The 25,202-nt window shown below is 37.1% G+C and overlaps 1 long non-coding RNA gene across 20 annotated transcripts in view; it reads right to left on the reverse strand.

Annotated features, from left to right (window-relative positions):
* The window catches only part of TNPO1-DT (TNPO1 divergent transcript), a 245,434-nt gene that overhangs the window by 198,001 nt on the left and 22,231 nt on the right, over window positions 1–25,202 (reverse strand). Inside the window, exon 3 of one of the 20 annotated variants that reach the window (NR_186510.1) lies at window positions 17,223–17,339. The exons of the other annotated variants lie outside the window; for them this stretch is intronic. This is a non-coding gene — a long non-coding RNA (TNPO1 divergent transcript). The remainder of the gene's footprint in view (window positions 1–17,222; window positions 17,340–25,202) is intronic. 20 annotated transcript variants of the gene reach the window in all.

A 25,202-nucleotide genomic window follows, 5' to 3' on the forward strand; every position in this document is an offset into this window, starting at 1 on the left:
ATTGTATTGTATAATATTATAATGCCAGAAAATTTTTTGTACTTTTTAAGTTAATTGTTGCTCATATATCACTATTACCTCTATAGCATTTTATAAATAATACAAATTTTAAAGGAAAATCTTTATTTATAACACTTTTAATGACACTTTTTTCCTGCTCTTTAAATGAGGGCTCTGCATTTTCATTTTAAAGCAATTTTTGAACTCTTACATGAGAGAATAGAACAGTTATAACTCTTATAAATGTTAAACTAATTCTTGCAATCCCAGCATTATAGAAGTTTCTAATTGGGCAGGGTAGTGGCGGAGGGCCAGGAGGGGAACCTTTAAAGATCAGTAATTCCATTATATAGATAGCAAAACTAAGGCACCAACCTGTAATTGTTTCAAGGTCACACGTGATTCAGAGACAGACTTGGGACTAAATCTCAAGACTCTCAATTCTACCTGGTATAAATTCTACCACCTATTCTTGCTCATTCTGTCAATGTTCTAGGAAATTACAAAGACTGAAGCTGTTTTAAAAATAATTTATTATTGGGTGTTGTAAAAGCTGAGAATCCAAACAGGATTGCCAAACAACCTAGATATCTACAGCATCATGCCTTCATCACCAAAAGAAATAAGGCATGTTCAAAGGAGCTGGAGCAATGGGAAGAAACACAGATATTGGCCAAGCCACCTCCAGAAGCAGAGAGGGAAGAAATATTCTTCCTTTCTCCCTTCCAGCCTTTCATCTTTCACCACATATTCCCATTAGCAGAAATGAGCTGGAAGCCAGCTGACAGAAGAGCCTGGCAAACTCCATCGGCAGGAGTCAGCCTTCCGTGACAGAACAGAGAAAGGGTGAGGAATGAATCGAAGGCAACCAGCAAATGACTGACACATGGAATAAGCCAGGGATAGCCTCAGGTGTGAGTGCTACCTGAAAATCTAAAAAGTGCTGGTAGCCAGATATTAAGATAATGAAAGCCCTTGGCACAGTGCATGGCATATGGTGAGTAGCAGTTACAAAATCACATCATCATTACTATTACTCTTAGTAGTATTAAACAGGAAGAGGTTAAAAAAATGATAAAAGAATCAGGGGAATTGGTCAGAAGATGATGAGACGAGCACTCAACATCAAAAATATTGACAAGACAAAGCTGAATGCGTTGCTTCCTATAATCAGGGAGGGCTATGCCAGTCAGGCACAGCAGACAGCCTTATATCAGATTTTTCTTTAGGGGAAGCATGAAGTGCTAGGAATTGACAGACTTTCAGGGGTATGAGTGGTTGGACATCATCTGCGGCAGCTCAGTTACTCAGGTGAGACTGCTGCTGATTAGCTGGCACTGAGAGGGGTGTTTATTGGAGTGAATCTTTCCCCGTGAGCTGACTCAAGCGAGAGGGGCTCACTGATGCAGGTTATTCTTGACCAACTGAATGGGTTTAAAACTGGTTCTTGTGGCTATTTTGTTTCCATTGCTACAGAAAAAAAAAAAAGTCTTTTTCTATGTTTGTAGGAACCTCTTTATTTTTAGTCCCTCCTACTGGTGCTTGTTCAATCAAAGCTGCAGGAGAAAACTTCAAGTGTTGTGCAGCTCTTTACCACTGTTGGCGATTTTCCTTGAAGGTGAAGTTTCATCTGTGGATATTTGATTTTCAGTTTTACGTGTCTATCAAAATAATTGTATTCTGGTTTTTCTCTTTGAATCATTTGTTGAATCATTTGTCAGGATGGTGGCTGCACACAAGCATTTAAGATTCTGGAACATAGACATTGAACACCAGTGAGATAAGTATAACTGGAAAGGCCCGGGAGATATTTCAGAACCATGACCCCAAATTTCCCAGACCTGATCACAAAAATAAGTCTCAAAGATTTTCCAAGTTTATTTTAGATAGCCAGGTTGCCTTTTCTTTTAGCTTTGAGGTAGATTATTCCAATTCACTGGAAGTGTTTAGGTATAATACACAATGTTAGCAATGGTAAAGAATCTTCCCTGGTTGGCCAAAATAAAATCCAAGACAATTCTATTATTTATAACTACTTGGTTTAAGGAATTTAAACTGGTTTGTTGTGTTTGCTGTGCCTCACAGTTTGGGACGTAGTATTTACTATGTCAACCAAAGTAATTTTTTTATGAAAGCTTCTAGTAGCTTCACTCCTGTGGATAGGATCATTATTCTCAGAATTCTCTCTCCATAAAGGGTTTTATGTACTCTTTGAAATGATACATAATTCATTCGGGATGTTGGGGAATTTAGTTGGGGAGCTAAATTGTATCAATTATCTTTTGCTCTATAACAAATGATTCCAAATTTAGAAGCTTGAAAACAAGAAAATTATGTCATATAGTTCCTGAGGGTTTATAAGTTTTGGAGCATCTTATCTGAGTGGTTCTGGATTAGTGTCTCCTACAAAGTTGCAGCCAGGATGTCAGCTAAGGCTGCAGTTCTCTGAAGGCTGAAATAGAGTATAGGATCCACGTACTTCCGAGAAGGCTCACTCACCTGGCTGTGGACTTGAGGCCTCAGTTTCTCATGGGCTGTTGGCAAGATTTCTCAATTCCTTGCCACATGGGCCTTTCCACAGAGCTGCTGCCAACATGGCAGCTAACTTTCCCTAGAGTGAATTGTATGATAGAGAATAAGGCAGAAAATACACTGTCTTTTATTACCTAACATTGGAAGTGACATACCATCACTGTTGCCATAGAGGTCACATATATCAACCTCAGCACAGTGTGGGAGAGGTACAGTGTACAAGTGCATGGACACCAAGAAGCGAAAATCATTAGGTATTATCTTGGAGACTGACTACCATAGAAATTACACTGTTGGAATGGCCTAACTAATAATTCAACAGAACAATTAATCTTGGTCCTACATTGGCACTAAAGAGTCTCATTGTTTTATAGAAAAAAATTAACAAAAAGATATACAAGAGATAATTCAACATTGATGGAACTCCAGATATACTGTTTCTGAGTACTGTTGACAAATAGTTGTTGTCTGTATTTTGTAATTTCCCTGGTGCAAGGACATTTTATTTCATTTATATATTGCATGCAGAGTATTGTTTGTTTGGCTTTTTCTGTTTGTTGTTGTTGTTGTTGTTTTCCTCCTCATTATGCTTCTTGGACAAAGAGTATTGCTATTGGAAAGTCAGAGTAACATACCTTAACATCATTTATTTAAATGGCTGAGCTAAAAATAGCTTGGAATAGCTGAATTATAGAGTTATGATGATAATTATCTAGATCAAGGATCAGCAAACTTTCTCTGTAAAAAACTGGATATTAAATATTTTTGGCTTTGTGAGCCATATATTGTTTTTTGGTCACAACTCAGCTCTGCTGTTGTAGCACAAGAGCAGCCATAGGCAACATGTTAAAAAAATGGCTGTGGCTGTGTTCCAAAAAAATTTTATTTACAAAAACAGGTGGCAGGCCAGATTAGGTCTGTAAGCCATAGTTTGTCAACTCTGGTCTAGACATAGTAACTCATTGTCACTAGTAAAGTGAATATGATAAGCTAAGTCAGAAGTAGAATACTTTAAGGCAATAAAGGAGAATAGTATTACCACAAACATAATATATAAGAATATGCAATAGAGAGTGTAATATATAGAAGAATCTTCTTCCAATGATCTTGAGCCAAAATTATCTACTCCATGTAATCATTAGCTTATTCTGAGGCTCTTGGGTTAGCAGTCAACTTCTGTGAACCATCTGCTGAAGGCTCTGGAGAACCTCAATTTAACATATCTAGCAGATGTAACTTTTCAGTTTGGTCAAGGACCTTTTCGTTTTTTCAGAGGATTTAGAGTGATAAGGATAATAAAGTTTATGACTAATGGAAAAAGACTTACATAGCTTTTATGTAAGCATTCTATAAATAAGCATTCTAATTAAATATGTCTGTATTAGATAATTGGAATATTCTAAGTTAGTAACACAAAATCTAATTGTGCTTTTATTTTGTTGCTTTGTTTTGTTTTTATTTTGTTTTCTGCTATAGTAAGGGCTGTGGATTTTTGATAGGCAAATACTTCAACTTACCCAGAAAATAACTGTACCTATTAGTACACATTAATAAACACAATTGTATAAATTATATAAATCTATTTGGGGATGCTAAAACTATTACTTAGAGCAGGGGTCCACAACCCCTGGCACCGGTTCATGGCCTGTTAAGAACTGGGCCACACAGAGGTGAGTGGTGGGCAAGCAAGCGAAGCTTCATCTGTGTTTCCAGCTGTCCTCTATCGCTCACATTACCACCTGAGCTCTGCCTCCTGTCAGATCAGCGGTGGCATTAGATTCTCACAGAAGTGTGAATCTTATTGTGAACTGCACATGCAAGAAATCTAGGTGGCTTACTCCTTGTGAGGATTATCTGCCACTGTTTCCCATCACCTCCAGATAAGACCTTCTAGTTGCAGGAAAACAAGCTCAGGGCTCCCGCTAATTCAACATTATGGTGAGTTGTATAATTACTTCATTATATATTACAATGTAATAATAACAGAAATAAAGTGCACAATAAATGTAATGTGCTTGAATCATCCCAAAACCATACTGAGCTTAATTTAGTATAGATAATGCATGAACTGGACATATCCTCTGCTATACTACAGAAGTTTTCTAGTCAGTGTTTAATACTATGGCAAATTTATCCCTACTGTGATGGGGTGTTTAATGGAGAATTTTGGCAATTGTCAATTTGAGGTTTCATCGCATACTTCAAGATCTGGTTTTGCCAGATCTTAGTCTTATGGAGCTTATAATGAGATAACTTCCCATGTTTCTTTTAAGCAGTTTGGCAACCAGGCCAGGCACGATGGCTCATGCCTGTAATCCCAGCACTTTGGGAGGCTGAGGCAGGTGGACCACCTGAGGTCAGGAGTTCGAGACCAGCCTGGCCAACATGGTGAAACCCCGTCTCTACTAAAAGTACAAAAATTAGCCGGGCATGGTGGCACATGCCTGTAATCCCAGCTACTCAGGAGGCTGACACAGGAGAATCACTTGAACATGGGAGGCAGAGGTTGTAATGAGTCGAGATCATGCCACTGCACTCCAGCCTGGATGACAGAATGAGACTCCATCTCAAAAAAAAAAAAAAAAAGAATTTTGGCATCCAAATTTTGTATATATCTCTTATGGAATTGATGGACTTATTATTATTTTGTTGTTATTTACATGAGATCTTTGTATAAGAACTCCAGTCAGTCTGTTTAGTGTGCTATTCTGTTAAAATATTTCAATAGTACTTCTAACGTATTTCAATAGTATCCACAGTATAGTATACTAGCTTCAATAGTACCTCTTTTACTGTGTCCCTACCTCTGTTACAGCAATTATTTTAGATATAGTAAAGACATCAAGTAATTAATATATTTGTTATATTTAAAGAGTACTTGAGTAAGATTTTAAAACCTCTTTTTTGTGTCACAGTTTAAATAAGTGAATTATTTTAAAAGCATTACCAGCTGTTGGTTTATATACTTATTCTTTTATTTTAGTAATTTTAAGTACCCTAGAGAAGACCACAGTTTAGTCACTGGTTCAATTTGAAAAATTTGATAAGGTAGTAAATTTTACAAGAGAGTGAGCTACTTATTTAAAACAGGCATAGTTTTTTTAAATTGTAGTAAAAAACACATAACCTGTAATTTATCATCTTAACCATTAAGCATACAGTTTAATAGTGTTAAGTATGTTCACATGTTGTGAAACAGATCTCCAGACTTTCTATCTTGCAAATCTGAAACCCTATACCCTGCCATGGTTTAAATGTCCCCTCAAAAAATTCATTTTGAAACTTACTCCCCAATGTGGCAACTTTGAGAGGTGAGGCCTTTAAGAGGTAATTGGATCATGAGGGTTTAGCCATAATGAACAGATTAATCCATTCATGAATTAATAGATTAAATGGTTAATGGATTCATGGGTTATCATGGGAGTCGGACTGGTGGATTTATAAGACAAGGACTAGAAATCTGAGCTAACATGTTCAGCCCCCTCATCATGTGATGCCTTGAACTGCCTTGGGACTCTTCAAAGAGGCCCCACCAGCAAGAAGGCTCTCACCAGCTATCGCCCCTCAACTTGAGACTCCTTAGCCTCCATAATTGTATGAAACAAATTCTTTTTCTTTTAAATTATGCATTTTCAAATATTCTGTTACAAGCAACAGAAAACAAGCTAATACAGAAAACTGGTACAGAGAAGTGGGGTGTTGCTGATAACAAATACCTGAAAATGTGGAAGTGGCTTTGGAACTGGGTAATGGAAAAAGTTTGGAAGAATTTGTAGAAACAAGCTAGAAAAAGCCTAGATTTTGAGGGCTTAGCAGACAAGAAGACTAAAGAAAGTTTGCAACTCCTTAGTTATTGCCTAAGTGGTTGTGATTAGGATGCTGATAGAAATATGAACAGTACAGTGACATCAGCAAGATTGTGGAGTAGAAGATTCCCCAGTATCAGTTCCACAACAAAAATACAACTGGAAAATATTCAAAGGCAAGAATATCACCCTGAATTCTCCAGAACTTGGGGGAGAAATGGAGACCTCCCCTGCATCCACAGAATTGAGAGAAGTCACAACTGGTAAAAGAAATGTTCATTTCAGACTGTGCCATTGCCTTTCCCAAGCCAGCAAAATACCACTCATAGAGAATTTCTTTAAACTCATGGTTTCTGTGGTGAGTGGAGGGAATTGGAGGTGCATGTTCTATCTCTCCATTGATCTTCAAATCTTTATGGAAGCCTACTCCTCTCCTGTCCCACAGGAATCATCAGGAGTTCCAGGAGGGCTAAACCACCTGCAGTGAATTGGGGACAAAAAGCAGGGCATTAATCACGATGACTGGAAAGTAGATCTTGAGAGCTTCTCTGCACTCCAATAAGTGGAGATCCCAAGTTGAAGAGACTGATTAGCACCATAGCACTGCAAGGGTCACAACCCACAGGAAAGCCCAAATCCTTGGCTGGATGTTCCACAAAGCCCAGGTGCTTGTGTGGAGCATTCCCTTCCCAGAAACAACTAAAAGGTCAAAATTAAGTTACAGTGCCAACTTAAGTCTTCCTCAGAATGGGAAATATTTGCAGGGCAGCAATATATTTCTGGGGCAACATCTAAGTTCCAGTGATCACTGTAAGTTTTCCACAGACTCAAAAACAATATGAGGGCAACAATTTAGTTATGGAGAAGCATTTAAATTCCAGTGTTCAATATGAGTCTTCCCACAGGCCAGGAAACAACAATAGGGCAACAAGTTAGTTCCACTGCAGTGTGTCAGTTCAGTTCACCATAAGTCCTCCCCAAAATGAGAAGCAACAACAGAACAGCATTTAAGTTCTGAGAGTAAGTAGTAAATGTCTAACACTACCAATGAATATCTGCAAACACTGGAAGAGGTGGCAGTCTCCTCAAATTCTCAGGCATCAATGTAAAGACACAAAGATTGTGAAAACTCAGAGAAATATGACATGACCAAGAGAAACCAACAAAGCTACAGCAATGAACCCAGAAGAATTGAATATCCATGAAATGTCTGAGAGAGAATTCAAAATAATCCTGTTAAACAAGTTCAGAGATCACAAGCAAATATGGATAGAAAACTAAATGAAATTTGGAAAACTATCCAGGAACAAAATAAGAAATTTGACAAAGAAATGAAAACAATTTTTAAAATAATAGAAAACCTACAAATAAAGAATACAATAACTGAACTGAAAAACTCATTAGAAAGCTTCAAGAGCAGACTTGATCAAACAGAGGAAAGAATTAATGAGCCTGAAGACAAAACATATGAAATTACCCAATCAAGGGAGAAAACAAAAGAATTAAAAAGAATGAGGAAGGCCTATGAGAATTGCGGGACACCATTAAATGAACTGACCTCTGCATAATAGGAATTCCTGAAGGAAACAAGAGAGAAAAGAGCTTAGAAAGCATACTTAAGGAAACAATGAAGAAGGATGACAGCATCCAGGTACAAGCAGCTCAGAAGTTATCAACCAAACTCAGTCCAAAGAGGAATTCTTCAAGACACATCATACTCAAATTAGCAAAAATCAAAGACAAAAAAGGATACTCAATACAGCAAAAGGAAAGAAAAAAATATCACATTTGATGGAGCTCCAATATGATATGCAATGGATTTCTCAGCAGAAACCCTGTAGGCCAAGAGAGATAAGGATGCTATATTCAAAGTGCTGAAGGAAAATAAACTTCCAGCCATGCATATTGTACCTAGAAAAGCTATCCTTCAAACACAAAAGAGAGATAAAGACTTTCCCAGGCAAATAAAAGCTGAGGAAATCATCAACACCAGACCTGCCTTACAAGAAATACTGAAGGGAGTTCTTCAATCTGAAAGAAATGGATGCTAATGTGTAACATGAAAACATCTAAATATATTAAACTTACTGGTAAAAGAAAGAAAACAGACAAATTTAGAATAGTTTAATGCTGTAATTGAGATAAAGAAACCACTAATGGCTTAAGTAAGAAGACTAAAAGACAAAACTATTTTATAAAAATAATGACAACAATTGGTTAAGAAATAAGCAATGTAAAAAGATGTAAACTGAAAAATCAAAAATCAAAAAGAAGGGTGCTAAATTGTAGAGTTTGTTTTGTTACTTTCTTTACTTTGCAATCAAAGTCAAGTCAATATCAGTTTGAGATAACCTGTTATAACTATAAGAGGATTCTGTAAGCTTTATAGTAACCAGAAAGTAACAATATATAATTGAGACACTTAAAATAAATAGCATGGAATCAACATGTATCACTAGAGAAAATTGCTTAACCAGAAAGAAGACAGTAAGAGAGGGAAGGTGGAGGGAAGGACCCACAAAGCAATCAGAAAACAAGTAACAAAATGGCAGTAATAAATCCTTACCTATCAATAATACCTTTGAATGTAAATGTATTAAATTCTCCAAATAAAAGACATAGAGTGGCTAAATGGGTTCAGATTTTTTAAAAGACCCAATTATATGCTGTCTTTAAGAAACCCACTTCACCTATAAAGACATGCACAGACTGAAAGTGGCAGAATTAAAACAGATATTCCATGCAACTGGAAACCAAAAAAGAGCAGGAGTAGCTATACTTACAGTAGAGAAAATAGACTTTAAGTCAAGAACGGTTTAAAAAAAAAGGAAAAGAAGGATATTATATAATGATAAAAGGGTCAATACAGCAAGAGGATACAACAAATACATATACACTCAACACCAAAACACCCAAACATTTAAAACAAATATTAATTGACCTAAAGGGAGAGATTATAATACCATGTATTATTACATTGCAGTAATAGTAAGGGACTTCAGCACCCCACTTTCAGCAATGGACAGATTGTGAAGACAGAAAATCAGCAAAGAAACATGAGAGTTCAACTGTACTCTAGACCAAATGAACCTAACAGATATTTGCAGAACATTCCATTTAACAGCTGCAGAATACACATATTTTTCCACAACACATGGAATGTTTCCACAAAACATTCTCCAGGAGAGACAATATATCTTAATAATTTTTTAAAAATCAAAATAATAACAATGTATTTTTTTCTGGAATAAACCTGGAAATCAATAATGGAAAGAATGTTGAAAACTGTACAAATTAATGGAAATAAAACAACATGCTCCTGAAAAATGGTGGGACTGATGAAGAAATTTAAAAGAAAACTTAAAATTCCTCAAGACAAATTAAAATGGAAACACAAAGTACCAAAACCTATGGGATATGGCAAAAGTAGTGCAAAGAGAGAAGGGTATAGCATTAAATATCTACATCAAAAAAGTAGAAAGACTTCAAATAAACAACTTAATGATGCATCTCAAGGAACTAGAAAAGCAAGAACAAACCAAACCCAAAATCAGCAGAAGAAAAGAAATAATAAAGATCAGGGCAGAAATAAATGAAACTGAGACAAAAAAAGAAGATTAACAAAATAAAAAGTAGATTTTTAAAAAAAGATAAGCAAAATTGACAAATCTTTAGCTAGACTAAGAAAAAGAGAGAATACCCAAATAAATGAAATCAGAGTTGAAAAAGGAGACATTATAACTGATACCACAGAAACATAAAGAATCATTAGAGGTTATTCTGAACAAATATGCCAACAAATTGGAAAGTCTAGAAGATATGGATAAAACTCCTGTACACATACAATCTACCAAGACTGAACCACAAAGAAGTAGAAAATCAGAACTGATCAATAACAAGTAACAAGATTGAAGCAGTAAAAAAAGTCTCCCATCAAAGCCCAGAACCTGATGGCTTCACTGCTAAATTCTACCAAGCATTTAAAGAAGAAATAACACCAATTCTACTCAAACTATCCCAAAAAGTTGAAGAGGAGGGAATACTTTTAAACTCATTCTATGAGGTCAACATTACCCTGATACCAAAATCAGACGAGGACACACACACAAAAGAAAACTACAGGCAAATATCCCTGATGAACATAGATGCAAAATTTCTCAGCAAAATACTAGTAAACTGAATTCAGCAACACATTAAAAACCTCATTCATTGTGATCAAGTGGGATTCATCCCAGGAATGCAAGGATGGTTCAACATATGCAAATCAATAAACAGATACATCACATTAGCAGAATTAAGAACAAAAACCATGCGATAGTTGCAATAAATGCTAAAAAATCATTCAACAATATTCAACATGCCTTTATGATAAAATCTCTCAAAAAACTAGATATAGAACTGACATACCTCAAAACAATAAAAGACATATATAACAAATCCACAGCTAACATCATACTAAATGGAGAAAAATTGAAAGTCTTTCCTCTAATATCTGGACTAAGACAAGGATGCCCACTTTCATCATATTTATTCAATATAGTACTGGAAGTCCTAGCCAGGGCAATTAGGCAAGAGAACAAAATAAAGGGCATCCAAATTGGAAAGGAGAAAATCAAATTATCCTTGCTCACAGATAACATGATCCTATATTTAGAAAAAGATGCCACCAAAAAAATTGTTAGAGCTGGTCAATAAATTCAGTAAAGTTGCAGAATACAAAATCAACATACAAAAATCAGCAGCATTTCTATACACTAACAACCAACAATCTGAAAAACTAACCAATAAAGCAATCCCATTTACTATGGTTATGAAAAAAAGAAACTAGGAATAAATGTAACCAAAGAAGTGAAAGATCTCTATGATGAAATCGATTAAACACTTGAACTAAGAAATGGAAGAGGGCTCAAACAAATGGAAAGATATGCTATGCTCATGGACTGGAGGAACTAATGTTTTTAAAATGTCCATACTATCCAAAGTGATCTACAAATTCAATGCAACTCCTCTCAAAGTACCAATGATATCCTTCACAGAAATAGAAAAAAAAATCCTAAAGTTTGCATAGAACCACAGAAGACCATGATTAGCCAAGGCGATCTTGAACAAAAGGAACAATGCTGGAGACATCACACTACCTGATTTCAAATTATACTAAAGAGCTGCTATAGTAACCTAAACAGCATGGTACTGGCATAAAAACAGACATATAGACCAATAAAACAGAATAGAACCCAGAAATAAATTCACACATTTATAGCCAACTATTTTTTGACAAAGGTGCCAAGAATATACATTGGGTAAAGGACAGTTTCTTCAATAAATGGTGCCAGGAAAACTGGATATACTCATGCAGAAGAGTAAAACCAGACCCCTATCTCTCAACATATACAAAAATCAAATGAAAATAGATTAAAGACTTAAATGTAAGACCTAAAAATCCTGAAGCTGCTAGAAGAAAAAAATTGGAGAATGCTTTAGGACATTGGTCTGGGCAAAGATTTTTTGGGTGAGACCTCAAAAGCAACAGAAGCAAAAATGGACAAATGGGATTACAGCAAACTAAAAAGCTTCTGTGCAGCAAAGGAAATGATCAGTAGACTGAAGAGACTGTTGAATGGGATAAAATATTTGCAAACTATCCATCTGACAAGGGATTAATAAAAAGAATATACAAGGACTCAACAGCAAAAAAAAAAAAAATCTGATTTTAAAATGGGCAAATGATATGAGTAGACCTTTCTCAGAAGACACACAAATTGCCAACAGGTATATGAAAAATGTTCAATATCACTAATCATCAGGGCGATGCCAATCAAAAACACAATGTAATATCATCTCACCTCAGTTAAAATGGCTATTATTGAAAAGACAAAAAATAACAAATGCTTGTGGAATGTGGAGAAAGGGGAATGCTTGTACATTGTTGGTGAGAATGTAAATTAGTGTAGGCACTGTGAAAAACAGTATGGAGGTTTCACAAATAACTAAAAATAGATCTGTCATATAATCCAGCAATCACACTGCTGGGTATATAGCTAAAAGAAAGAAAATCAGTATACAGAAGAGATATCTGCACTCCATATTTATTGCAGCACTATTCACAATAGCCAACATATATAATCAATCTAAGTGTCCAAAAATGAATGGATAAGGAAAATGTAGCATATATACACAATGGAATATTGTTCAGCCATGAAAAAAATGAAATTCTGTCATTCTCAGCAACAAGGATGGAACTGGAGGACATTATGTTATGTGACGTAAGCCAGGCACAGAAACACAAATATCACATGTTCTCACTCAAATGTGGTAGGTAAAAAAGTTGGTCTCTTGGTCAGAGTAGAATGATGATTACCAGAGGCTGAGAAGAGTAGGGGAGAATTGGGGGTGAAAAGAGGTTGGTTAATAGGTACAAAAATACAGCTAACAGAAGGAATAATTTCCAGTGTTTGATAACATAGTAGAGTGACTATAGTTAACCATAATTTATCGTATATTTCAAAATAGCTAGAAAAGATTTGAAATGTTCCCAACACAGAAAAATGATAAATGTTTGAAGTGATGGATATCCTACTCTGATTTAATCATTGTATGAATGTATCAAATATTAAATGGACCACACAAATCTTTACAATTATTATGCATCAATAAAAATTTTTTAAGAAAAAAATATGGATAATAAAGGCCGTTCTGATGAGGTTTCAGATGGAACTGAGGACAAAGGTATTGGAAACTGGAGTAAAGGCTATCCTTGTTACTAATTGGCAAAGAACGTGGCTGAACGGTGCCCATGCCTGAGAACTTTGTGGAAGGCCAAAATTGAGAGTAATGAACTAGGGTATATAGCAGAAGAAATTTCTAAGCAAAATATAGAAGGAGCCGATGGTTAATTTTAGCTGCTTATGCTGAGATTTTGGAGAAAAACAATAATTTAAAGACAGAATTTATAACTAAAATGAAAGCATAATGGAAAGATTTGGAAAACCCTCAGCCTAGGAAAGTAAAGAGTGAAAAAGCATGTTCAGGAGAGGAAACCAAGGGTATAATACGCCTACAAACCATTTGCTAAAGAGATTAGCACAGATAGAAGGGAGTCAGGTGCTATTCCTCAAGACAGTGGAAAAAAAGACAATGGAAGGCATTTCAGGGACCTTCAATGCTACCACTCCCATCATAGGCTCAAGGGCACAGGAGGGCAGAATATTTCAGGGGACAGACCCAGAGTGCTATTTGCATCCCAGCACAGCACTTCTAAGCCTCAGGTATGGCTTATGCTGCAGCTCAGGAAAGTACAAGTCATAAACCTTGGTGGCATCCACATGGTGCTAATTCTGCAGGCTTACAGAAAGCAAGAGCTGTGGAGGCTTGGCAGCCCCTAACTGGACTTAAAAAGATATTCCTATTGTTAAAAGCCTGGGGGCCTAGGCAGAGACTAATTACAGGGGCAGAACCACTGCAGAGAAGTCTCACTAGACCAATGCCAAGCAGAAATACAGGATTGTAGCTGCTGCAGAGAGCCCCCATCAAGGCAATTCCTAGTGGAGCTATGGAAGTGAGGCCATCACAGAGAGTCCCACTACAGTAATATCTAGTCAAGGGAGCTCGGCCACTGCAAAGTCCCCACCAGGGCAATGCCTAGTGGCATTGTGGAAGTGAGGTCACTGCAGAGAGTTCCCAAGAGGGCAAGGCCTTCTGAAGCCATGGTAGTGGGACTGCCACTGAGACCCCAGAACTGTAGAGCTGCCAGCATGCAATGCCAGCTTGGGAGAGCTGGGTGTACTGAGCCCAGCCAAGTCAAAAGGACAGAGCTTCCCAGTGCCCTGGGGGCCCAACCCTTCCACCAGTGTGCAGAGGATGCCCAACAGGGAGTCAAAGGAGATTATTTTGAAGTCTCCGGACCCAATATTTGCTCTCTTGAGTTTCATACTTGCTTGGGCCCTGTTACCCCTTTCTTCTTACCTATTCCTCTCTTTTTGAATGAGAATGTGTACCCCATGCTTGTCCCACCATTATATTTTAAAAGCAAATAACATTTTTATTTCACAGGCTCACAGATGAGACTTTAGACTTTGGATTTTTGAGTTAGTGCTGGAATGAGGAAAGACTTTAGGGCTATAAGGATATAATAAATGTATTTGTACGTGAGAAGGACATGAGTTTTGAGGAGCCAGGGACAGAATGCTTTGATTTGAATGCCCCCTCCAAAACCCATGTTGAAATTTAATCCCAAATGTGACAGTATTGAGAGGTGGGACCTTTAAGAAGTGACTGGATAATGAGGGCTCTGCCCTCATTAATGGATTAATTGATCAATGAATAAAATGGACAGACTTCGAATAATTGTCCTTCTGTTTCTTAGCCAGTATGGAACATTGAGTCTTTAAATTACTATTGTACTTGCAACAGCTACAGGTATCCTTATCCATAGGCTTCTAATTTTTAGAGAATAGAGGTTTTTTTGGTTGTTTTTTAACTGAAGAGCCAAACACTATATTGAGTTTTAGCTTATTTACTTTCTAAGGCTCTGGAAATGTCTGACACATATTGAATACTTTCTAAATTGGCAATTTTACATTTCAACTTAATTTTCATTATTAAATTCTCTATTTCGGGATGGATCCAATTTACAATAAGAGAAGATACAGTTCTCTACTTCAGCTATAGTTTTATGGTAGCTTCTTGAGTATTTCGTGAAGTCTATTTTTCATCTTTGCTTTGTTTATAATTTGAACCTTTTAAATTTTTCTATCAAAATGTTTTCTTAAGTTTCCTTATTGTAGTTAATTTTAAATTTTTATTGCTGTTTTAAGACAATGTTTAAAAATTTTACATAATTGGTTGACAAATCTTTCCTATCTTTCTGCTTACTAAGCATTTTCTGTAACTAAGAGGCTAACACTTAGCTGAACTAGTTGGTACAGATCTGTGGTAGAAGAAACCAAGTATGTAATAAAATTTTGACTTCCATAACAATGATCTACCAATATTCTGAAAATTTAGCATAATCCTTTATCATGGCCCTTAACTTGTCTGTAGACCAGAATTTGTAATTCATCCTTATGGCCTAGAAATTTTATGACTTAATTATTATTGCCCTGACAAAAGAGTAGCTCATTTAGAAGGTCAGGTGAAGCTGAGTAGAAAAAGAGAAAAATGCAAAGAGGATAGGTCTCAAAAGTTTACAAAGTCTTTGAGAGAGACTCTCTTGGAGTTAGAATTATTTTTCAAGGCTTTGGAATATCAATTAGAGGAGACTATTGACTATTTGGTATTTTGTCTCCTAACTTTTTAGCATTTCTCTTAAAGGTATTAATTTAAAGATTTGGACATGTCAAAACATGACATTGTTATTCCAAGACAATTTTTCTTTTTGCCGTTTTTCAATAAAAATGAAAAGTTAAAATTATGGTGCTTCTTAAAGGAAATAGAAGTTATTTCAGGAGAAGGATGAGGCATTCACATGGACAAACCCATAACACACAAGAGAAAGAAGCCACTACAGTCAGTTTACATTGTGAGGTTTTGAAGGGTGTTAGGTTTCCCCAACCAAGAAGAAACTGTACAAGAGCCACACAGTCAACAACCTGACAATTCTTGACTCCGTAGAAGGGACAAAAAAAAAGTAAGCTTCTTTTCCAAATTAACAAGAAAAAGGGTACCCTCATAAAGGATTTATAGGAGTCCCTAGACAATGTTTGACTAACCCTTTTTTCACCAAGTGATTGCTGGTCTAATGGACCTCCAGCCATTAGTTCTTAAGGCCACCTTCATTGTTTTGGAAACTTATCTGGCCTATACTCCCACATGTTCTCTATGAAACACTCCTTTATACACTCAATAGAAACAGACAATCCAGGATAAAACAAAACACATGAAACAAGACTTTGTACATACAGACAAACAAAATCAAAATTAAAGCAAGGAGCAAAAGAATAAGCATGTTAATAGTAAAAAATATATATATATCAAATGGCATACCTCCAAAACAAAAGGTCTAGTTGTTGTCTTATACAAAGTCCTAAGTCTAATTGTTTATTGTATGGTTTATATTAATAACCAAAAAAGGCCTAATTGCTTTTTGCAATGACCTAGGCCTAAACAAAGACCTATTTGGCCACAAATTCTGGAATAACAAAATAAATTCAGCACCAAGACTCAATGAAACTAGCTAGAGATCACATTGTTGTTGAGATTAACTAACTTGGCAACATATCTGAAGGGTAAGTAGAATTTTGGTACAAGGTGTCCAATGAGTGCATCTGTTGGCCTAATGGTCCTCTAGAAGGTTGCCAAATGAGGGGCTTTACAACAATCTTGGTAGAACCTCCATAATTGTCAAAAGACCACCATTCAATATCTAACATACAAAGACAAAGTTAACTTATTGCTTGTTACAGTAAGAGATGTGGGTCAGGCACAGCCTTTTCAAGCAGAACAAATGGCTGATCTTATATAGTGTTTCAAGAAAGCATAGCATTCAGGAATTTGTTGACTCTCAGAAACATAAGTAGGTTGACATCATCTGTAGAAGTGTGATTACTCAGGTGAGACTATTACTGATTGGGTAGCACTCAGAGACATGCTTGTTGGAGTGAGTTTGTCCCTGATTGGCTGACCTTCAGAAGTGAGATTGACAGAGTAGTTGGATTGCAAAATTGTGTTTACTGAGGTGAATTGTTTGATAAAACAGATTTAAAACAAGTTATAGTGGCTACTTGTTATCATGACTTCAGAATTATCAATCTTTTCCTATGTTTGTAACAACCTTCTTTATTCTCAAGTTCAACAATATGATCAAGGAAGAAAGAAAAAGCAATAGAAATATTGGAGGCTATTCATGGCTCAGCATGGTGGAGCTCTGTCAAAAATGGTACACCTTACCACTCAGGAACAGGTGTCAGCCTTCCAGTCAGATGGAAAATGTTTGGTATGAGTGAGATTCCTGTGGGTAGGTTGTACTTTGTATGGATGAACCAGTAGAAGAAGGAAGAGATTCTTCTGAAAGAGTTATAGTTGAAATCAATACATATTTAGGCAATTTCAAAACTTCATTCCCTATTAAGACTATCACTTATTGTATACAATATTCCTTTTAGAAAACATATTTGTAAACCATATATGTAACTTTGTTAACAGAATATTCTGTATTCTGCTTTTATGTTCCCTTACTTGTTTTTCTTCTTTATTTGATGATTATGGCAGGGTTCTCCTCAAAGAACTTCGTATTCAATATGGTAAGCCACTTCTAGTGGTAATTTATTAAATCGTCTTCATTTCCAAGGTAACTGGTTAAAATGTTATTTGTGACCACAGACATAGAACTTCATCATAGAACTAAGCATTAGAGACAGTAACTCCAAGTTTATTTTTGGAAAAGAAGAGGAAGAAAAAGATAGTATCAGTATGATTAACAGCTTGATCTCTGGATTCAGACAGTTCCTGGCTCCTCCACTTATGAGCTGTGTGACCTAGGGCAAGCGACTAAACTTCTCTAAGCTTCTGTGTTCTCATCTGTAAAATGATGATAATAAATAATATCTACTTTATATGGCTATTGAGAGGATTAAAAGCAATAAATTACGTAAAGAGCTTAGCATAGTTCCTGGCACATGGTATACAACTAATAAATGTGATATACCACTTTTGTAACTAATTTTTTTAAGTATGAAAAGACTTTATGCTAAAATACATAATATGCCTTTCTTTCCTTGTTTCAATTTGTTTCTGCATAAATAAAAATTATTTTTAATATTTTGAAAACATTTACAACACAAAAAATCTTAGCGCTTCACAGCCCTTTATGATAAAAAAAGGTTGATAATTGTGTTAATATATTTATGATAAGAAACAGCTTTACTTGGATAAGGTAACAAGGATGGACCTGTGAGGTCAAAGAAATGTATGAGTTCATTAAGTGTGGCTTAAGTATCCAGGGAAGGTGGTTATTTATACTCCTAAAGAGTTCATACTCCAGCAACTCTCAGTACATCTAATGACATAATATATGGAGACACGGACCGCTGTGGGAGAAAATGATGAAGTGTCCATTTGGGACAGGGCCTCCTTATTCTCATGAATTGCTCAAATATGTGGGGACATAGGACTGCAAAAGGACAAGTAATACTTTTATGAAGTCTGTGACCCATACCATTCATTGCACCCTGGGAAAAGGAAAGAAAAGTTCTGAACAATTCTGTTGAGCAATTACCTATTGAATGAATATGCCATAATATATTTAACCATTCTCCTACTGTGGAACATGTAGTTTTCCCCCATATTTTTTCCTTTTACCTCATAAATGATGATGCCACAAGCATCATCTTTGTATATAGAGCTCTTTTCCTCCACTGAAGCAGCATGCTGCAATGATAGTGAGGCCACACCCTGGAGCCATACTCTCTAGCCTCAAATCCCAGCTCTGCCATTAACCAACCATGTGATCTTAAGCAATTTGTTTAATCTTTGTTTCCCTCAGTTTCCTCATGTGTAAAATGGAGATAATAAAATTCCCAGTTCATATGGCTGCTATGAAGATTAAATCAGTTAACATATGAAAGGCACTTAGAAAAGTGTCTGGCATTAATTCAGCATGTAGGATTCAGCATCTAGGTGGTACCTAGAGATGCTCCTTGACACTTACTATGGGGTTACATCCTGATAAATCCATCATAAATTAGAAATCTCCATGGTTGAAAGTGTGTAACTGCGAGTTTCCACTTGTTTCTGTTGCCCAGAATGAATTTTTATTTTTATACTTTATGAATTTTCTAATTCATTACCTTATTGTTTTTAAAGTGAATTTATTTAATTGCTACTGAAGGTGTTTCGTAAGTTAAGTGACTATTTCCTCTTATTTGAATGCTGTTAGTGCCCTTTTGTTTTTAGGGGTTTGGTGTTAGGCTTTAGTTTTTGTTTTGTTTTGTTTTGTTTTTTGTTGTTGTTTTCTTATTTGTTTGTTTTGAGACAGAGTCTCGCTCTGCTGCCCAGTCTGGAGTGCATTGGCACAATCTCAGCTCACTGAAACCTCCACCTCCTGGGTTCAAGCGATCCATGCCTCAGCCTCCTGAGTAGCTGGGACTACAGGCACTCACCACCACACCTGGCTAATTTTTTTTGTATTTTTAGTAAATACAGGGTCTTTCCATGTTGGCCAGGCTGGTCTCGAACTCCTGGCCTCAAGTGATCCTCCTGCCTTGGCCTCCCAAAGTGCTGGGATTACAGGCATAAGTAAACATGCCCGGCCAGGCTTTAGTTTTGACTAAAGACTGACATATTCAAAATTTCGTTACTTCATCTGTCATATTTAGTACAAGTAATTCTCTCAGTCTCTTGTTTTCTTTTTAAGCTCCTTTTATTGTTTTTCACATTATAGATATTTTAAATGTTTGTATAGTTATGTGTGTCCATCTTCTATTTTTTCATTTCTGATTGCTCTCCTCTTATCTTCTTATTTTGTTACAATTTGGTTTGTTAATATTTAACTTCCTGTAGTTTTCTCCTAAAGGGCAGAGACTCTGTTAATCATCATTGTATCTATATGCCTAGCCCAGTCCCAGCATGTAATGAACTACCAATAAATATTTGTGGAATGAATGAGTAAGTGAAGGAACAACTGAATTGGCCCCAGCAGTCCACAGACCACACCCACTTGAGATTACATAATAAGGTCACTTTTTCTTTAATAGCCAACTTATAAAAACTATGAACTTGCATTCCATAGGCTACAAAAAAACTATTCTTCCGGAGGATTTCCTTCCCATGGATCTGTTAAATGTTCCACTAAATCAGTACTACATTTGTCACCGCTATTAGAGTCCAGCAAGTCACTTCTGCCATCAGATAACCAGCTTCTCTAGAATACTACTCGCCCTATGAGTTATTCTCCAAGCATAGACTCTGATCCCTCCCTTAATTATCTAAAGCACAGGTAACACATGAATAAAACAATTAACAAAAATGTACTGCAAACTTGGGTATGAAAGAAGTACAATGCAGGCTGGGCACAGTGGCTCATGCCTATAATCCCAGCATTTTGGGAGGCCAAGGCAGGTGGATCACATGAGGCCAGGAGTTGAAGACCAGCCTGGCCAACATGGCAAAACTCTGTCTCTACTAAAAATACAAAAATCAGCTAGACATGTCAGTGCACACCTGTAGTCCCAGCTACTTGGAAGGTTGAGGCACAAGAATCGCTTGAACCTGGGAGGTGGAGACTGCAGTGAGCCGAAATCGCACCACTGCACGCCAGCCTGGGTGACAGAGTGAAACTCTCAATGCAGTATAGATTCCAACAACTACTGGAAGGAGTTACTTTGGGAACACAATGTGGCAATGGCCAGCTCACCCCACCAACAGAAAATCGCCAGGCATCTCCACACACTGAAACACTGGCCCTAAGAACCGCTGTGGTGGGAGTATGTGTGTGTGTGCAGAGAGGAGAAAGAGATGTAGAGACAGACGAAGAGATTCAGAGAGATATCTTTCCTCTTCAAATCCATGCCCTGCTTCTTTTGGCTGTTGCGAAGATTAAATGAGTTAAATTAAATAATTGACAGTGGGAGCACCCACTAATGCAGAGTACGGTCTGGCTCCTATGGCCAGACAGGCAATGATAAAGGTCAGCAGTACATTTTACAAGTCTGAGTTATTCTGTCTTAAATACCACTATGTGAAAGGCACCAGTGCTCCAAATCCAGGTGGTATTATACCAATCCTAGTCCCCTGATTCCCTTTCACAATTTTTATCTCCATAATAAAGAGCTGAGATCTACACAACACTCTTGGCATGGTCCAGTGAGACAATCTCCTGTTACCAATTACTTAGACAAAACTCTCTCTCTCTCTCTCTCTCTGACTCTCTCTTCCAAAATAAATAAACAAACAGTACTTTGCAAGGACAATTCAGCCAAAATCCAATTCTAAGGCTACATATTTTCCCCCTCTGATTTTGAAAGGATATACACAAGCCACTAAACCCAATTTATACTTCTAAACGAAACTTGTCAGCTTACTAGAAACTTCAATCTCCTCAAAAAGCAACAAGTGAGTACTTGCTCTAGATGTGTGTAATTCAAAAGGCCTATTCTGGTAATTCTCCCAAAACAAAGAAAGCCTGCTCCAAAGATGAATCAATGACTCCATCTTTATTAAAAAAAATATCTGGCAACTTTTAAATGATTTAATGCCAGGTTTCCAAAAAAGTAAAGTCCTGATGTGCAGCCTCTTGCAGAATGAATAAAGTAGTGTGAGGTGAAGGTCCAAGTTAAAGTTTTTGCATATTAATATCTGGTTGTCTTAGTCCATTTTCTGTTGCTATAGAAAAATACCACAAACTGGGTAATTTATAAAGAAAAGAAATTTGGCTGGACACAGTGGCTCATGCTGTAATCCCAGCACTTTGGGAGGCGAAGGTTGGGAGGATCACTTGAGCCCAGGAATTTGAGACCAGCCTGGGCAACATAGTGAGACCCCACCTCTACCATAAAGAAAAATTAGCCAGGTAGTCCTAGCTCCTTGGGAGGCTGATGTGGGAGGATCACTTGAGCCCAGGAGTTGAGGCTGCAGTGAGCCATGATCGTGCCACTGCACTTCAGCCTGGGTGACAGAGTGACCCTGTCTCAAAAAAAAAAAAACCAAAAAAAAGTGTATTTCTTACATTTCTGGAAGATATGAAGTCCAAGGTTGAGAGGCCAGCATCTGTCAAGGGCCTTCTTTCTGTGTTATCCCATGGTAGAGGGCAGAAAGATAAGAGAGCATGTTAGCAAGCAAGAGATCAAACTTGAAGCCTCAACTCCTTTTTATTCAGCAGTAATCCATTCATGAGGGTGGAAAATAAACATCTCCCATTAGGTCTTATCTCCCAACATTACTGCATTGAGGATTAAGTTTCCAACCCATGCTGTTTGTTGTTGTTGTTGTTGTTGTTGTTTTTAGAGTCAGCGTCTCACTGTCACCCAGGCTGGAGTGCAGTGGCTCACTGAACCCTTAAGCTCTAGGCTCAAGCAATCCTCCTGCCTCAGCCTCCCAAACAGCTGGGATGACAGGTATGAGCTACCATGCCCTGTTGGTTTTCTTACTAGTTCTTAAATCATGGTTCTTTTCTTAATTACTTCATTACTTGCATAAGCTGACTTCATCATATCTTTAACATCTATGTAAACTAGGCTATCTATCTGTTCAATTACCTCTTCATTTTTTAAACTCATTCCATATCATTTCCACTCATTTCTTTTAAAATCCTAGTATCTAACAAGAATAGTTCTTCCTTATAATTTTTCTTCTCTTAGAGTACTATATGAAAATTCTGCCCATTTATTTTGGAAAACAGTTTTGGAATCATTTTATTGAGTTCTATAAAGTATTCTTTGGTTTTTAATAGGAATATGGTAAATCTATACATTAATTTGGGAAATATTTTCTTTACTATTCATAGTCATACTATGTCTTTGCTTTCATTTGGGTTTTTAAAAATTATTTCATTTAAGTTTTTACATTTTTGTGAACCCCAAAAATCTGAGACAGGTCTCAGTTAACTTAGAAAGTTTATTTTGCCAAGGCTGAGGACACATGCCCGTGACACAGCCTCAGGAGGTCCTGATGACATGTGCCCAAGGTGGTCAGAGTACAGTTTGGTTTTATACATTTTAGGAAGACATGAGACATCAATCAACATAGGTAAGATGAACATTGGTTCCATCTAGAAAAGGCAGGACAACTCGAAGCACGGAGGAAGCTTCCAGGTCATAGGTAGATAAGAGAAAAATGTTTGCATTCTTTTGAGTTTCTGATTAGTCTCTCCAAAGGAGGCAATCAGATATGCATTTATCTCAGTGAGCAGAGGGGGTGACTTTGAATAAAAATGGGAGGCCGGTTTGCCCTAAGCAGTTTCCAGCTTGGCTTTTCCCTTTAGCTTAGTGATTTGAGGGTCCCAAGATTATTTTCCTTTCACAGTTTATAGCTTTCAACATTCCACATTAATTTCCATATATTTTATCATTTGCTGACATTGTGAATAAGATCTCCTTTCAATTAACTTTTCTAGTTGGCTATTCCTGATATTTAGGGAAGATACAGGTGTTTGCAGATTTATCTTGTATTTGCCCGTTTCACTGAATGTTTTTGATTTTGCTAATAGTTTTGTTGCAAGTGGGGATGGCTTAATTTGGGTCTTCTATTTCTTCAAATAACTTTGTTTCCTCTTTTCCCAATATTTAATTCTCATTGCTTTTGGAGGACCTACCATGATTAAAAGAATTTTCAGCATTAAATTGGAAAATAATGATAACAAACAGCCTTTTGCTTTGTTTACTTTTTTTTTTTTTTCCTTTTTTGAGACAGGGTCTTGCTGTGTTGCCCAAGCTGGAATGCAGAGGCACGATCACAGCTCATTGCAGCCTTGACCTCCTGGGCTCAAGTGATCCTCCCACATCAGCCTCCCAAGTAGCTGGGACTATAGGTATGCATCACCACGCCCAGCTAGTTTTTTAATTTTTTGCAGACACAGGGGTCTCACTGTGTTGCCCAGGCTGGTCTCAAACTCCTGGCCTTAAGTGATCCTCCCGCCTTTGCCTCACAACGTGCTGGGATTACAAGCGTGAGTCACTGTACCCAGCTGCTTTGTTCATTTTTTAAAGGAAAATGTTTCTAGATTTGTTCTACCCTTTATAAAACTTTAAACTCTTAGTTTTTCCTTTTTTGATGTAATAAAATAGCAAAACTATATTCTAACTTAACGTATTTTAAAACTGGATTTTTGAATTTTATCAAATGTTGTTAGAGGCTTTTATTGACATATGGCTTTATTATTGAAGTTACTGATCTGTGATTTTTGAGTTTCCTTTTCATTGAATCATTCACTGATTTAGAGAGAGAATTTCCCTGATTCCCCAATCTTGAGTAGCCTCCCCTCTCACTCTTTATCACATCCTTCATTTTGCTCTGTTCATGGCAGTTATTATTGTTATTTTGAATTAACTTGTTTGTTTACATCAGGGGTCCCCCACTCCCTGGCCGAAGACTGGTACTGGTTCGTGGCCTGTTAGGAACTGGGCTGCACAGCAGGAGGCAAGCAAGCATTACTGCCTGAGCTCTGCCTACTGTCAGATCAGCAGCGGCATCAGATTCTCATAGAAGCACGAATCCTATTGTGAATTGCATATGTGAGGGATCTAGGTTGCATACTCTTTGTAAGAATCTAAGGCCTGATGATCTGAGGTGGAACAATTTCATCCCAAAACCATGAGGGATCTAGGTTGCACACTCTTTATAAGAATCAAATGCCTGATAATCTGAGGTGGAACAGTTTCATCCCAAAACCACCCTCCTACCCACCTCACCCATACACTCCCACACCCCCAATACCCCCACACCCCCCTACACAGCCCCCACTCCAGTCCCTGGAAAAACTGTCCTCCACAAAATCGGTCCCTAGTGCCAAAAAGGTTGGGGGCCACTGGTTTACATGTTATTGTCCGTCTTCTATGCATGGCACCCTTACTGGTAATGCTTGCTTTGAAATCTTTATTGGTCAGATCATCTTTGCAATATTAAATTGTGATACACCCTGATCTAGCATTACAGTACTATCCTGGAGCTAATAGAATCCAAAGCTGCTTCCTAAATCCTGGCTTTTCCTGCAGATTTCTTTGCAAGTCATCTCTGTGCAGAAGTGGCCTTTCACTCAGCACAGAGTACTACATAGAATTCACGTTCCTCAGTTTCTGAGCTAACGTTCTGACCTCCTCTAAGTCTTGCTGCTAATGGACACTGGGAGACCTGGGATTTATGTATACTTCGATTCAAAGATTGTACATATAAGAACCCATAATTGTTATATATTTTTGGCAAAAGATAAAGTATTTC

This window comes from Homo sapiens, chromosome 5 (genome assembly GCF_000001405.40).
Source record: "Homo sapiens chromosome 5, GRCh38.p14 Primary Assembly".
In the NCBI taxonomy this organism is placed as follows: domain Eukaryota; kingdom Metazoa; phylum Chordata; class Mammalia; order Primates; family Hominidae; genus Homo; species Homo sapiens.